This window comes from Homo sapiens, chromosome 6 (genome assembly GCF_000001405.40).
Source record: "Homo sapiens chromosome 6, GRCh38.p14 Primary Assembly".
Taxonomy (NCBI): Eukaryota; Metazoa; Chordata; class Mammalia; order Primates; family Hominidae; genus Homo; species Homo sapiens.
In genome coordinates, this window is record NC_000006.12 from 74587192 (window position 1) to 74601619 (window position 14428).

General features: G+C 36.6%; 2 long non-coding RNA genes across 2 annotated transcripts in view; one reads left to right on the plus strand and one right to left on the minus strand.

Annotated features, from left to right (window-relative positions):
- LOC101928516 (uncharacterized) overlaps positions 1-14428 on the plus strand; it is a 621277-nt gene that overhangs the window by 517741 nt on the left and 89108 nt on the right. The window lies entirely within an intron of this gene.
- The window catches only part of LOC105377858 (uncharacterized), a 140187-nt gene continuing 132746 nt past the window's right edge, over positions 6988-14428 (minus strand). The window contains exon 3 of the long non-coding RNA NR_187974.1: positions 6988-7421. This is a non-coding gene — a long non-coding RNA (uncharacterized LOC105377858). The remainder of the gene's footprint in view (positions 7422-14428) is intronic.

Genomic DNA, 14428 nt, shown 5'->3' on the forward strand with positions numbered 1-14428 from the left:
AGAGATAGGAAAAAACAGTCCTGAGCCACTGATGTCACCCCTCTCCTGCCCTTCAGCAGAGGTGGCATGGTGCTGGGAAACAATCTCTGGGTATTAGGGGAAGGACAGCATAGTATTTGTAAGGCATTGAACTCAGGGCTATCTTAGGAGAGTAGAAAGGAAAACCAGACCAAACTCAGCTGACGCCCACCCATAGAGGAAGCACTTAAACCAGCCCCAGCCAGAAGGGAATCTCCAATCCCAGCATTTGGAACTTAAGTGCCTACAAGCCTCACCACAACAGGCTATAGCACTCTGTGTCTCCAAGGAAACTTGAAAGACAGTCTAGGCCATAAGGACTGCATCTCTTAGGCAAGGCCCAGTGCTGAACTAGGCCCAGAGATAGTGGACTGGGAGGGCACATGACATACTGAGACACCAGCTGGGGCAGCCGAGGGAGTGCTGGCGTCACCCCTCCCCTAGCCACAGCCTGCACATCTCACAGCTCCAAAAGAGATCTTATCCTTCTGCTTTAGGAGAGGAAAGCAAAAAAGGGGGAGGTGTTTGTCTTGCTTCCTGCATACCTGCTCAGCCACAGCAAGATAGGGCACCAGTCACAGTTGTGAGGCCCCCATTCCAGGCCGCAGCTCCAAGGCATTTCTAGACACATCCTGGGCTAGAAGGGAACCCACTGCCTTGAAGTAAAGGTCCCATTCCTGGCAGTATTCATCACCTACTACCTGAAGATGCTACCTTGGGCCTTGAATAACCAGCAGTGATATCCAAGTACTACATTGAGGGCCTTGGATGGGTCTCTCAGACTTGTTGGTTTCAGGTGAGACTCAGCACATTACCAGCTGTGGTGGCTATGTGGCAAAACTCTTTCTGCTTATAAAAATCAGAGGGAAAAGTAAAGGGGATTTTGACTTGCACCGTAGGTACCAGAAAGGCCACAGATGGGCAGAACACCAAGTGGGCTCTTGGACAGCATTTCTGGACCTGCCCTGGGCCAGGAGGGAACCCACTGCCCTGAAGAATGAGTTCCTGGCCAGGCAACATTCACGATAAGCTAACTTAAGAGACATTGGAACTTTAGGGAATGTCAGCGACAGACTGGCAGTACCCCTTGTGGACTGTGGTGGCAGTGGCTATGGGGTGAGGTATCTCTGCTTTTGGAAAGTTGAGGGAAAAGTGGGAAGGACTACAACTTGCGGTTTGAGTGCCAGCTCAGCTGCAATACAATAGAATACCAGGTAGACTTCTAAGGTTTTTGACTCTAGTCCCTGACTCCCAGATAGCACTTCTGGACCCACTGGGACCTGGGGGAACTCACCGCCCTGAAGGGAAGGACACAGGCCTAGCTGGCTTTGCTACCTGCTGATTGTAGAGCCCCAGGGACTTGAGCTAACATAGGCAGTAGTTAGGGAGTGGTTATAAAAGGTCTTGGGCAAGACCTAGCACTTTGCTGTCTTCAAGTCTGACCCAGTGCAGTCATAGGGGTGGTGGCCACAGGGTTGCTTGTGTCACTTCACCCACAAGCTTTAGATGGCTTAAAACAGACAGTGAGACTTTGTTTGTTTGGTAGAAAGTAAGGGAAGAGAACAAGAGTCTACAACAATTCTCTGGTAATTCAGATAGTTCTCCTGGTTCTTGTCTAAGATGATAAAAGCAGTACATATATGAGTCTTCAAGAACTACAGCATTACTGAGCTTGGGGTGCCCTCTAAAGCAGATACAGCTCAGGTCACAACACCCAAGTCCTTTCAAATATCTGGAAAGCCTTCCCAAGAAGGACAAGTACAAATAAGCACAGATAGTGAATACTACAATAAATACTTAACTCTTTAATGCCCAGACACCGAAGAACATCTACTAGCATTAACAACATCCAGGAAAACATGACTTCACCAAATGAACTAAATAGGGTACTAGGGACCAATCCTGAAGAAACAGAAATATGTGACCTTTCAGACAAACACTGTAAGAAGAGACAAAGAAGGTCACTACATAATGATAAAGGGGTCAATTCAATGAGAGGATATAATTTTCAATATATATGCACCCAACTCTGGAGCATCCAGATATATAAAGCAAATATTATTAGAGCTAAAGAGAGAGATAGACCTAATATAATATCAGCTGGAGACTTGAACATACTACTTTCAGCATTAGACAGATCTTCCAGACAGAAAATCAACAAAGAAACATCAGACTTAATCTGCACTATAAACAAAATGAATCTAATAGATATTTACAGAATATTTCATCCAAGAGCTGCAGAAAACACATTCTTTTTCTCATCACGTGAACTACTGTCAAGGATGGACTGTATGTTAGGTCATAAAACAAGTCTTAAAACATTTTAAAAAATTAAAATAATATCAAATATCTTTTCTGACCACAGTGGAATAAAATTAGAAATTAACAAGAGTAATTTTGGAAACTATACAAATAAATAGAAATTAAACATATATGCTCTGAATGACCAGTGGGTGAATGAAGAAATTAGGAAGGAAATTGAAATATTTCTCAAAACAAATGATAATGGAAACACAACATACCAAAACCTATGGAATGCAGCAAAAAACAGCACTAAGACAGAGGTTTATAGCTATAAGTGCCACATCAAAATACAGGAAAAACATCAAATGAACAGTCTAATGATGCATCTTAAAGAATTAGAAAGGCAAGGGCAAACCAAACCAAAAACTAGTAGCAGAAAAGAAATAATAAAGATCAGAGCAGAAATAAATGAAATTGAAATGTAAAAAAAAAAAGAAAAGATCAATGGAACAAAATGCTGTTTTTTTGTTTTTTGTTTTGTTTTTTGTTTTGGAGATTCTTTTTTTCTGGCTTTATTGGGATATAATTGACAAATGAAAATCATATATATTGAAGGTGTACAATATGTTTTGACATACATATATATTGTGAAATGATTGCCACAATCCAGCTAATTAACATATCCATCACCTTATATAGGTATTGAAAAATTAAACAAAATTAATTAATCTTTAGTCAGACTAAAAAAACATGAGTGAAGATCTAAATAAAATTGGAAATGACAAGTTAATAGAACTGATACTGCAGAAATTTAAAGGACATTAGTGGCTACTATGAGGAACTATTAATATATGCTAACAAACTGGAAAATCTAGAATAAATGGAAACATTCTGAGATACTTACAACCTACCAAAATTGAACCGAGAAGAAATTCAAATACTGAATAGACCAATAACAAGTAACAAGATCAAAGCCGTAAAAAAAAAAGGCTCCAAGTAAAAAAATAAAAATAAAAATAAAAAAATAAAAGCCTGGGACCTGATGGCTTCACTGCTGAGTTCTACCAAACATTTAAACAAGAAATAATACCAGTTCTACTCAAACAATTCCAAAAAATAGAGGAGAAGGGAATACTTCAAAACTCATCTCATGAGGCCAATATTGCCTTAATACCAAAACCAAAGACACATCAAAAAAATAAAACTACAGGTTAATATCTCTGATGAATAGTGATACAAAAATTCTCAGCAAAATACTAACAAACCAAATTCGACAATACATTAGAAAGATCATTCATCATGGCTAAGTGAGATTTATTCCTGGGGTGCAACAATGGTTCAACATATGCAATCATCAATCAATGTGATACATCATATAAACATACTAAAGAATAAAAACCATATGATCATTTCAATTAATGCTTAAAAAGCTTTTGATAAAATTTAACATCCCTTCATGGTAAATATCCTCAAAAAACTCAGGACAGGAGGAACATACCTCAACATAATAAAAGCCATATATTACATACCCACAGCTAGTACCATACTGAATGGGGTAAAACTGAAAGCCTTTCCTCCAAGGTCAGGAACACAAGAAGAATGCCCACTGTCATCACTGTTATTCAATACGCTACTGGAAGTCTTAGCTAGAACAATCAGACAAGAGAAACAAATAAAGGGCATCCAAATTCAAAAGGAAGAAGGCAGATTATCTTTGTTTGCAGATGATATGATCTTATATTTGGAAAAACCTAAAGATGATACCAAAAACTATTAGAACTCATACACAAATTCAGTAAAGACTCAGGATACAAAATTAACATACAAAATTCAGTGACATTTCCATATGCCAACAGTGAACAATGTGAAAAAGAAATTTAAAATGTAATCTTATTTACAATAGCCACAAATAAAATGTAATACCAAAGAATTAACCTAATCAAATAAGTGAAAGATCTCTACAATGAAAACTGTGAGAACTGATGAAAGAAATTGAAGACACCAAAAAAGGAATAAATATTCCATGTTCTTAAATCAAAATTGATACAATGTCCATGGTACCCTAAACAATCTACAGGTTCAATGCAATTCCTATCAAAATATTAATGGCATTCTTAACAGAAATAGAAAAAACATTCCTAAAATTTATATGAAACCATAAAAGACCCAGAATAGCCAAAGATATCCCAAGTAAAATGAAGAAAACTGGAGTTATCTCATTACCTAACTTCAAATTATACTACAGAGCTTTAATAACCAAAACAGCATGGTAGTGGCATAAAAACAGACATATAGACCAATAGAGCACAATAGAGAACCAACAAACAAATTCACCTACAGGGAACTCATTTTCAACAAAGGTGCCAGAACATATACTGGCAAAAAGACAGTCTCTTCAATAAATGGTGCTGGGAAAACTGGATATCTATATGCAGAATAATGCAACTATATCCCTCTCTCTCACCATAAACAAAAAAAATCAAATCAAAATTGATTAAGGACTTAAATCTAAGACCTCAAACCATAAAACTACTACAAAAACATTGGGGAAAATCTTCAGGACATTGGTCTGGGCAAAGTATTTCTTGAGCAATACCCTACAAGCACAGGCAACCTAAGCCAAAATGGACAAATGGGATCACATTAAGTTAAAAAGCTTCTGCACAGCAACAGATACAATCAACGAAGTGAAGAGACAACCCACACAATGGGAGAAAATATTTGCAAACTACCCATCTGACCAGGGATTAATAACCAGAGTATATAAGGAGCTCAAACAACTCTGTAGGAAAAAAATCTAATAATTTGATTAAAAAAATGGGCAAAAGTTTGATAGACATTTCTCAAAAGCAGACATACAATTGGCAAACAGGCATATGAAAAGGTGCTCAACATCATTGATCATTAAAGAAATGAAAATCAAAACTACAATGAGATATCATCTCACCCCTGTAAAAATGACTTATATCCAAAAGACAGGCAATAAAAAATGCTGATGAGGATGTGGAGAAAAGGGAACCCTCACACACTGTTGGTGGGAATGTAAATTAGTACAACCACTGTAAAGAACAGTTTGAAGGTCCTTCAATGTAATGGTTAATATTGAGTGTCAATTTGGTTAAAGGATACAAAGTATTGTTCCTGGGTGTGTCTGTGAAGCTGTTGCCAAAGGAGATTAACATTTGAGTCAGTGGGCTGGGAAAAGCAGACCCATTCTTAATATGGGTGAGCACCATCTAATCAGCTGTCAGATGGCCAGAATAAAAGCAGGCAGAAAAACGTGAAAACACTAGACTGGCCTAACCTCCTAGGCTACATCTTTCTCCCATGCTGGATGCTTCCTGCCCTTGAACATTGGACTCCAGGTTCTTCTGTTTTGGGGTTCAGACTGGCTTCCTTGCTCCACAGCTTGCAGACAGCCTTTTGTGGGGCCTTGTGATTATGTGAGTTAATACTCCTTAATAAACTCCCATTTATATACACATGTATCCTATTAGTTCTGTCTCTCTAGAGAATCCTGACTAATACACTCAAAAAAACTAAAAATTGAGCTATCATGTGGTCCAGTAATCCCACTGCTGGGTATATACCCCAAAGAAAGGAAGTCAATATATTGAGAGCTATCTGCACTCCCATGTTTGTTGCAGCACTGTTTACAATAAGTAAGATTTGGAAGCAACCTAAGTGTCCATTAACAGATAAATGGATAAAGAAAATGTGATACAGATACACAATGGAGTACTATTCAGCCATAAAAAAGAATGAGATCCAGTCATTTGCAACAAAATGTATAGAAATGGAGATCATTATGTGAAGTGAAATAAGCCAGGCACAGAATGACAAACATCACATGTTCTCACTTATTTGTGGGATCTAAAAATCAAACAGTAGAACTCATGGATATAGAGAGTAGATAGTTGGTTACCAGAGGCTGGGAAGGGTAGTGGGAGTCTGGATGGGAGATAGGGACAGTTAGTGTGTACAAAAAAGAATAGTTAGAAGAACGAATAAGACCTACTACTCAACACAACAGAAGGGATACTATAGTCAATAATAACTTAATTGTACATTTTATAATAACTGTAAGAGTGTAATTGAATTGTTTATAATTCAAAAGATAAATGCTTGAGAGTATGGATACCCCATTCTCCATGATATGCTTATTTCACTTTCCATGCTGGTATCAAAACTTCTCATGTACCCCCAAAATATGTATACCTATTACGTACTCACAAAATTTTTTTAAGTAAAAATTAGGGTAGTGGGAAAAAAAAAAAAATTCTTCCCGTTGGTCTTCATGGGGTAGATCCTTCTCATTATTCAGGTCTCAGCTTAAATATCACTTCCTCAAAGGAATCTTCCTGGTCACTTTATCTAATGTGCTTATAGCCTCAGATGGCAATAACTTTCCACTTTCTTCCCCTAATTTTCTTTATAGCACTTACCAGTTGTGAAATGCTCTTGTCTATTTAGAATTTAAGCTCTACAGTAGCAAAGATGTATGTTTGCCACCATATTTCTGGAGACTGAAATGGTTACTGGCCCATTGTAAGTACAAAAAAAAAATTAAATGTATTATCAAGTACTCTTGAGAGCACTTTAAACCACTGCTAGTCAGAATATAGGTTGGTACCATCTTTGTAGAAAGTAATTTCCCATTATATCTCAGTTCAATGATTTTCATACCTGTTTACCCAGTAACACTATTTCTATAAAAACAAACAATTTTATTTTTTTTTTTTAAACATCAAAGTAATTTATTTGATTTGTTTGAAATCGAGTCATTTCTTCCCCCACCACATCCCCTGTACCTGTTCTGCCCCATCTAAAGTGTCCTAAGGCACAGATGTGATCATCCTGTTCTTTTGACAAAAACCAGTAACAGCTCCTTATTTGTGACTAGGAGAGACAGCCAAACTCCATAGGCTGGTTTCTCAGTAGCTCTTCCATTCTTCACAATGCCTTTTCACTTGGAGTGTTTTCCAACCAAACAAAGCCACCTGCTGCTATACAGCCTCCTGTACTCTTCCTATTCATTCCTCCTGAAAAGCCCCCGCCACAGTCTTCTCCGGTGAAAATTCCGTTTGTCCTTAAGGCCAGACCACATACTGCCCCCTACAGGCAGCCTTCCAGGACTCAGCTTTACGCAATTGCTCATTCTGAACAAAAAACAAACAATTTTAAAAATCAGAGTTAAGAGCAAAGATTTATGGAGTTATATAATACACATAATATAAAAAATATATACACCTACTATGTATGCACCAAATTATTTAAAATAAAAATGAAATAAAAAATTTAAAAAATTAAGGTAGTGGGAAAATGTATTATTTTATATATACATATGCATATATATACACACACACACATATATATATAGTAGCATATATATAATTAATAAAATTAGAAACACCTCAAAGGTCTGACAAAGAGGAGATGGTAAATTAAACTATGATATCTTCACACAAATGGCAGTATTCATTCCACCTTGCTTTGGTAATCATACTTCCAAAAATCTCTCCCCTACTGGATATGAGATTAGGTGTCCCGTATCCCCTTAGCCAAGGGATAGACATTTGACCCAAGGTAAGCCAACGGAGTCCTTACCTGAAGTTTGAATATTTTGCCCATGGACAGAAAGGAAAGATGAAATATTTATTTCTTCCTTTCATTGCTCGTGCCTAGACAAGCCTCTCAAGCAATGTTTGCTAATAAGTTTCACCAGGGCTCTCTGATTTCTGCTATGGCTGACATCCCACTGGATACACTGTTCTGCCTTTCTGGTTTGAAATAATTTCAAAATATGAAATTATTTCTAAACTTATTCATAAGTAGCTGTTGCCCTCTGAGAGTCCTTCATTGCCACAGCTAACCCAGCCTCTGTCCAAGTACCCTCTGCATGACCCACTATTCCAATAAATAAAGGGGTAATCCCTAGCTCAACAGCTGTGTGGTTGGCTTTGGTTCAGAAAGGTAGAGTGCTTCATGCCATTCAAGGTATTTTCAATTCCACTCTTGCTTCCTGTCCTTAACAAGTCCCTTTGATTTTGTGTGTTCACTCATATTTTTCCTTTAATTTCATATTTGCTACATTAGTTCAATTCAGTATTTGTGGCTGGCAAAAGAAGAATTCTATTTGATGTACTCTGAGTCTTGTTTTCAATGTTGGAAAATTCTTAGTCAGTTAAAAAAATAAGGACACAAAACTATGTGAAGCCTAATTTTATTTAAAATATATTTTGAAATATTGTCATTTATATCAAATATTGACATGCATATATACATAGATACACGTAAAATATAGCAAAATCTTTTTTTTTAATTTTTATTTATTTTTTTTTAAATTATACTTTAAGTTTTAGGGTACATGTGCACATTGTGCAGGTTAGTTACATATGTATACATGTGCCGTGCTGGTGCGCTGCACCCACTAACTCGTCATCTAGCATTAGGTATATCTCCCAATGCTATCCCTCCCCCCTCCCCCCACCCCACAACAGTCCCCAGAGTGTGATATTCCCCTTCCTGTGTCCATGTGATCTCATTGTTCAATTCCCACCTATGAGTGAGAATATGCGGTGTTTGGTTTTTTGTTCAAAATCTTATAATGCTCATCTTTTGGTATTATAGTATATGGAAGATATTCTTCATAATTTTCATTATTTTCCAAACTTTCTGCATCTATGTATGTATAAACCGCTAAAGTTACATAATTTTAAAAATAATTAGGATGGATTATAGCTCTATCGGGGGGCGCTCAGCTGTTGTATCAGGCATTGTTAGAAGTGAATTTATAACCCTAATGATGGAATATTTTAATTGCACATGTTGATCTTCTTAGCTTCATATGTCTATGTCATATACATCAATTTCATGATATGTAATTCTTGCTGTGTTGATAATCAGACTTGATGCTAACTTATATCATCTTACAAGATAAATTATATGATCACCCAATCTTTAGCAGTTATGCCTATTCTCAGTTCATACAACATTTAGGAAATTATTACAGCTGTCATTGGCCTTTACTATGGTACTGGAGTGTACCTAGGAACAACTTCTACCTAGAAGGCATTGTAACACAAATTCATTCACTTTTTAAAGGGAAAAATTGGGAAACATGGTGGTATTGTCCATGGATAGAGTTTGTAGCTAGATCTTTTCTTGGATGAGTGCTTTGAAAAATGCCACATTTTCATAAAATTCTGGAAAAAATTCTCACTTCAAATTGCTGAATTAGTGTTTATAAACCAGAAGACAGAAAGTGTTGTGTTCAACAGCCAAACCTCCTGGTGACCCACAGCTGTGTCTGGACCAAGACTGCATATTTAACTCAAGGAAGAAGTGCCTCTTTGAGTACCTCACTCCCCAGCATGGAATGTTAATGAGAATTCTCTACCAGATGTGTGGACTTAGTGCTAGACAGGAACAATATTGAAAAGTATGCAATTAAACTTTTAACTTTTTTTTTCAGATAAAAAGAATGGGAAGGTATTATAAATAAATATACTTTAATGGTTATTACCATTATATTAGAAATTAGTTGCATAATTCAGTTCACTGTTTAATCATAGGTAAAATTAATTGAGGCCACATGTGCCTACCTATGGCCATTTGAATGTATCTAGTGTGGTAGGTGACTCCTGCAATTGTTCCTGAGGTTCTCTGCAGGATATTTCTCTTCTCTCATCTCCTAGCCAGACTCAGAGAAGCCAATGGAGTATTTGGAGCAACCACTACGTGGAAGGAGCCCAGATCCTGAGTAAGCTGGTAGGCCACCAGCCAGATAATTAATTGACATGAATGAGAAATAAAGATGATGTGTTAACAAATAAAAACACATATAGAAATAAGCATATTCATGATGTATAAAATACACTTATAATATCTAAATAAGCATAAAACTTTACCAACATCATAAGGAAAATAAATGTCTTGTAGGACTTGAATGAAGAGGAAAACACATCTGGAGAGGATATGACTCAGGATAACCACTGCCTTTTCTAGCATTTCCTGACTGCTCAAATTTGATTAGCGCTTCCCACCTGACCCTGTGTGAAGCCCATGGGCTTATTTGTCTGAATCCCATCTGTACAGTAAGCTCCTTGCAGCCAGGCCATTATCTTATTTATCTTGAATTACTTGTAATTACTTAGTCCCGGAAACATACATAGATGTTTCTTAGTAAATACTCATTTTTTTAGTGAGTGATGTATGAAAATGAGAAACATTTCACAACTGGACAGTAAAGATGGCATTTGTTAAGAAGTAGAATTTTGATGGTGGAGACTCTGATGAGAAGGACATTCCAATCAGAGGAAACAGTGTTAGCAAAGGGCATCATAAAAAAACAGGTGAGCAAGGCTGTATAATCCTACGCTGGAGGTCTCTGTAGCTGTATCAGGAAAGAGGTCTTTGGTATTTTATTTGTATATAAAAATTCACATTTTCTAATGCATGTTAGTAGGATAAATGTCTTTTTCTTTGTCTACTGGTGTTTGCCTCTGTTTTTAATGTGTGTATGACAGCATATGTGAATTTCGAAAATAAGCACAGAGAACATGGATAACATTCTAGAATATAAAACTAACAAAGTATTACACAGTTTCAAAATGACAATGACATCTATATATAGAAAACAAAGTTGGTGAACATTAACAACATGAACTTTCTATTTTAATAAGAAAATGGAAAATAAAGAATAATGATATTGTAGATATCAAAATAATTTACCAATAAGATTAAATATTTTGTTAAATAGCCTGATTTTTACTGATAAATCATGTAAAAACACTTAGTGAAAGTATATTAATTGTGTATTATGGGTTAGGTGCTATTCTGAGTGCCATTTATGCACTGGGAATAAAATAGTCCCTGCTCTATTTTGTAATTATAGTCTGGTAGGTTAGTTAGATAAGTAAATAAACAAATGGTGTAAAATGATAACAATCATGATGAATACTATGAATAAAGTAAACAGAGTGCAGAGAGATAAAATAATTGTGAAGAATCTACTTGTTTAGAATAAGTAGAGAGACCCTTCTAACAATGTGACAATTAAGGTGAGTCATGTAAGGCAGAATCAGGCAAGCGTGTTCTAGGCAGAGTTGCAGTTGCAGATGTTATTCCAGATATTAGTCAGAGCACCTGCCATCCTTCCTTCTTTCACCAAATATTTAGTGTGTGGCTACATTAGGTAAATCGACATACTCAGTGCTTAAAGAGATAGAGAAATGGACCAGGCACAGTTTCTGTCTTCAAGGAGGGATTGTAATTTTGAAATTATAACTGGCCATGGTGTGCAGGAGCTGACTCCTACACATATGAGAGCTGCTTGTTAAATACTCAGGAATGTTGTAACCTGCTTGTTAAATAGTTGGTAGCCTAAATCATCCATGGTAAGAGTATTTACACTACAATAATTGGCAGTCATTGTAAATCAGGGTGTTTTCTTTTCTCCAGAGAGTTTGTGGTTACATATTTACCAACAACCCATAACTCATCACTTGTAAGGCTGATTCAAGAGGAACTGAAGCTACTTGTTGACTTTAGGCTCTATTATATTCTACTATCAACTGTTTACATAGGGTACAACTTTGAAAAAGTACAAAAATATTATTTTATATTGCCATCTCAATATTGATAATGCAAAGTGCTTTCAGTAGCTTTTAGGGTTGGAAATTTGAGACTAAACTTGATAAGATCAGACAATATGACTCTTATTCCCCCCTCTACCCTCAGTATTAGCCAGACCTGTGATCATTGCTAGTGAAGTTTGCTCTTCCAGGAATACTCTCCCCATCACGATCTCCATCTGTCCAATCCTGTTGTCTTACAAGTATGAAATGATAGCTCCCATCTTAGAAGAAAGATTTCATTTCCCCCACATCCCTTCCTTCAATAGCTCAATTTCTTCATTTTTCATTCCAAGTCCCAAAGTTCCTATTTCAGGCTTTTGTCTCCAGCACTTCACTAAACTGTTCCTATGAAGGGCAGCAAATACAAAGGACAATTATCAGTCCTTGTCTTCCTCAATCTTGCAGTGATATTTGACACAGATGGTCCCTCATCATTCTTCACAATTCTAAATACAGGAGTTCCCTAGGTTCAGTCATTGGGAATTTTTCCTGTCTATTGACTTTCATTGGTATTTAGGTACTGATTATGTATTATGTATCGATGACTGACTTATTCTGAGTTCCAAGCACTTAGCACAGCATAGAAAGCCCCTTCACAGTCCAGCCTCAGCCCAGCTCTCCAACATCATGGCCTTCCATGCTTCACTTGACTCACGATGCTTGATCACACAGAAGTTCTTATTTTTTCTTGAAGAAATAAAGCTGAGTCTTTCTTTAAGACTTCATTTCAGTTTCCCTCTGCTTATAATACTCTACCCCTATTTCTTCTATAACTTACTGACATACTTTTTTCAGGGCCCTGCTCTAATGTCGTCTCTCTGACCATCTCATCTAGAATGTCAACACCATAATCTCACAATGCTTTATTTTTCTTCATACTAATTATTTTTGTGTCTATATAATATATATATGCACACACATATACATATGTATATAATCTCACTAACATAGTAGTAATACACTTTCTAAAATGTCTATCGACACAATATTACTTAATATATTATATAATATATAGCATAAATTGCAAAGATATAGTACTTAATGTATAGTATAATGTCATGTAATATAACATAATATACTCTCCCTGGAATGTAAACTTCCTGAGAACAGAAAGCTATCTTTCTATAGTTCCATCACCCAAAAACAGTGTCTGACACATAGTAAGAACTTAAAATACATTTTTTGAATGACTGAAAAATTACCTAAAAATTAATAATCCCCATGTAGCCTTTTTATTTAACTATTTTTACACTTCTTTACCCTCCTCCTTTTATCCACTGAAGGCACAATAATCTAGGCCATACAGTAGTAACTTATGAGAACCAGTTCTTGAATCCAGATATTTTCATTACTTTTTACTTCAAATACATGTTTCCATTGTATTGCCACCTCTAATTATATATTTTTTAGAACCAGTTAGTTTGTAATATCAAATGCCATTGGCAATTTCTGGCCACAAGATTTTTTTTTTTTTTTTTTTTTTGAGACGGAGTCTCGCTGTCGGCCAGGCTGGAGTACAGTGGCGTAATCTGGGCTCACTGCAGGCTCCACCCCCCGGGGTTCACGCCATTCTCCTGCCTCAGCCTCCCAAGTAGCTGGAACTACAGGCGCCCGCCACCTCGCCTGGCTAATTTTTTGCATTTTTAGTAGAGAAGGGGTTTCACCGTGTTAGCCAGGATGGTCTCGATCTCCTGACCTCGTGATCCGCCCACCTCGGCCTCCCAAAGTGCTGGGATTACAGGCGTGAGCCACTGCGCCCGGCCTCTGGCCACAAGATTTAATCATCAGGAAGATCTATTGAATATCTACTATGAGGTGTCCACTCTATTGGTGCTTGGGATCCAAAGACAAATAAAACACTTCTCTTGCATCCAAAGGTCTCTCTGTCTTACACAAGCATACATGCAAAAATTTATTGCACTAATTTCTGGGGAAATTATGTACAACTTGTACAGGAAAAGCCTCATATTTCAACGTTAAAAATTCTGTTTGCAGAATGAATTTCTGCACATACATGCACATATGCACACACACATATGCACAATCATACATACGCACTTTTTAACAACCTTAAGTGTATAAGAACATGATATGAACTCTTTCTTTTTGAGGGTATTTATATTTCAGGGCCAGATATAACCACAGAAACATCTGACCTTAGCAGAAATATTATTCCTTCTTATTTGTCAAAAGTTGAGCATTAAAATCAAATGTGAGACTAGGAAATAGCAGCTTCACTTGGAGATTTCTCCACAGAGTTCTTGTCTTCAAAATAAAGTCAGTGGAAAAGAAAACGCAAATCCCTTTTCAATTATTCATTTTTTCCAACTTGGAAAATTTTTCAATACTTATTATTTACTCTGGATATCAGTTATTCTTTTCATTGACTTGCATTATCTTTCCATATACACACATTTTCCAGGATTTTATTTGGCCTACAAATAACCTCACAGGTAATTTATTTTGCAAATACTTCATGTTTGATCTAGGTGGCAAGGCAAATAGTTTTCATATTATTTAGCTGACTA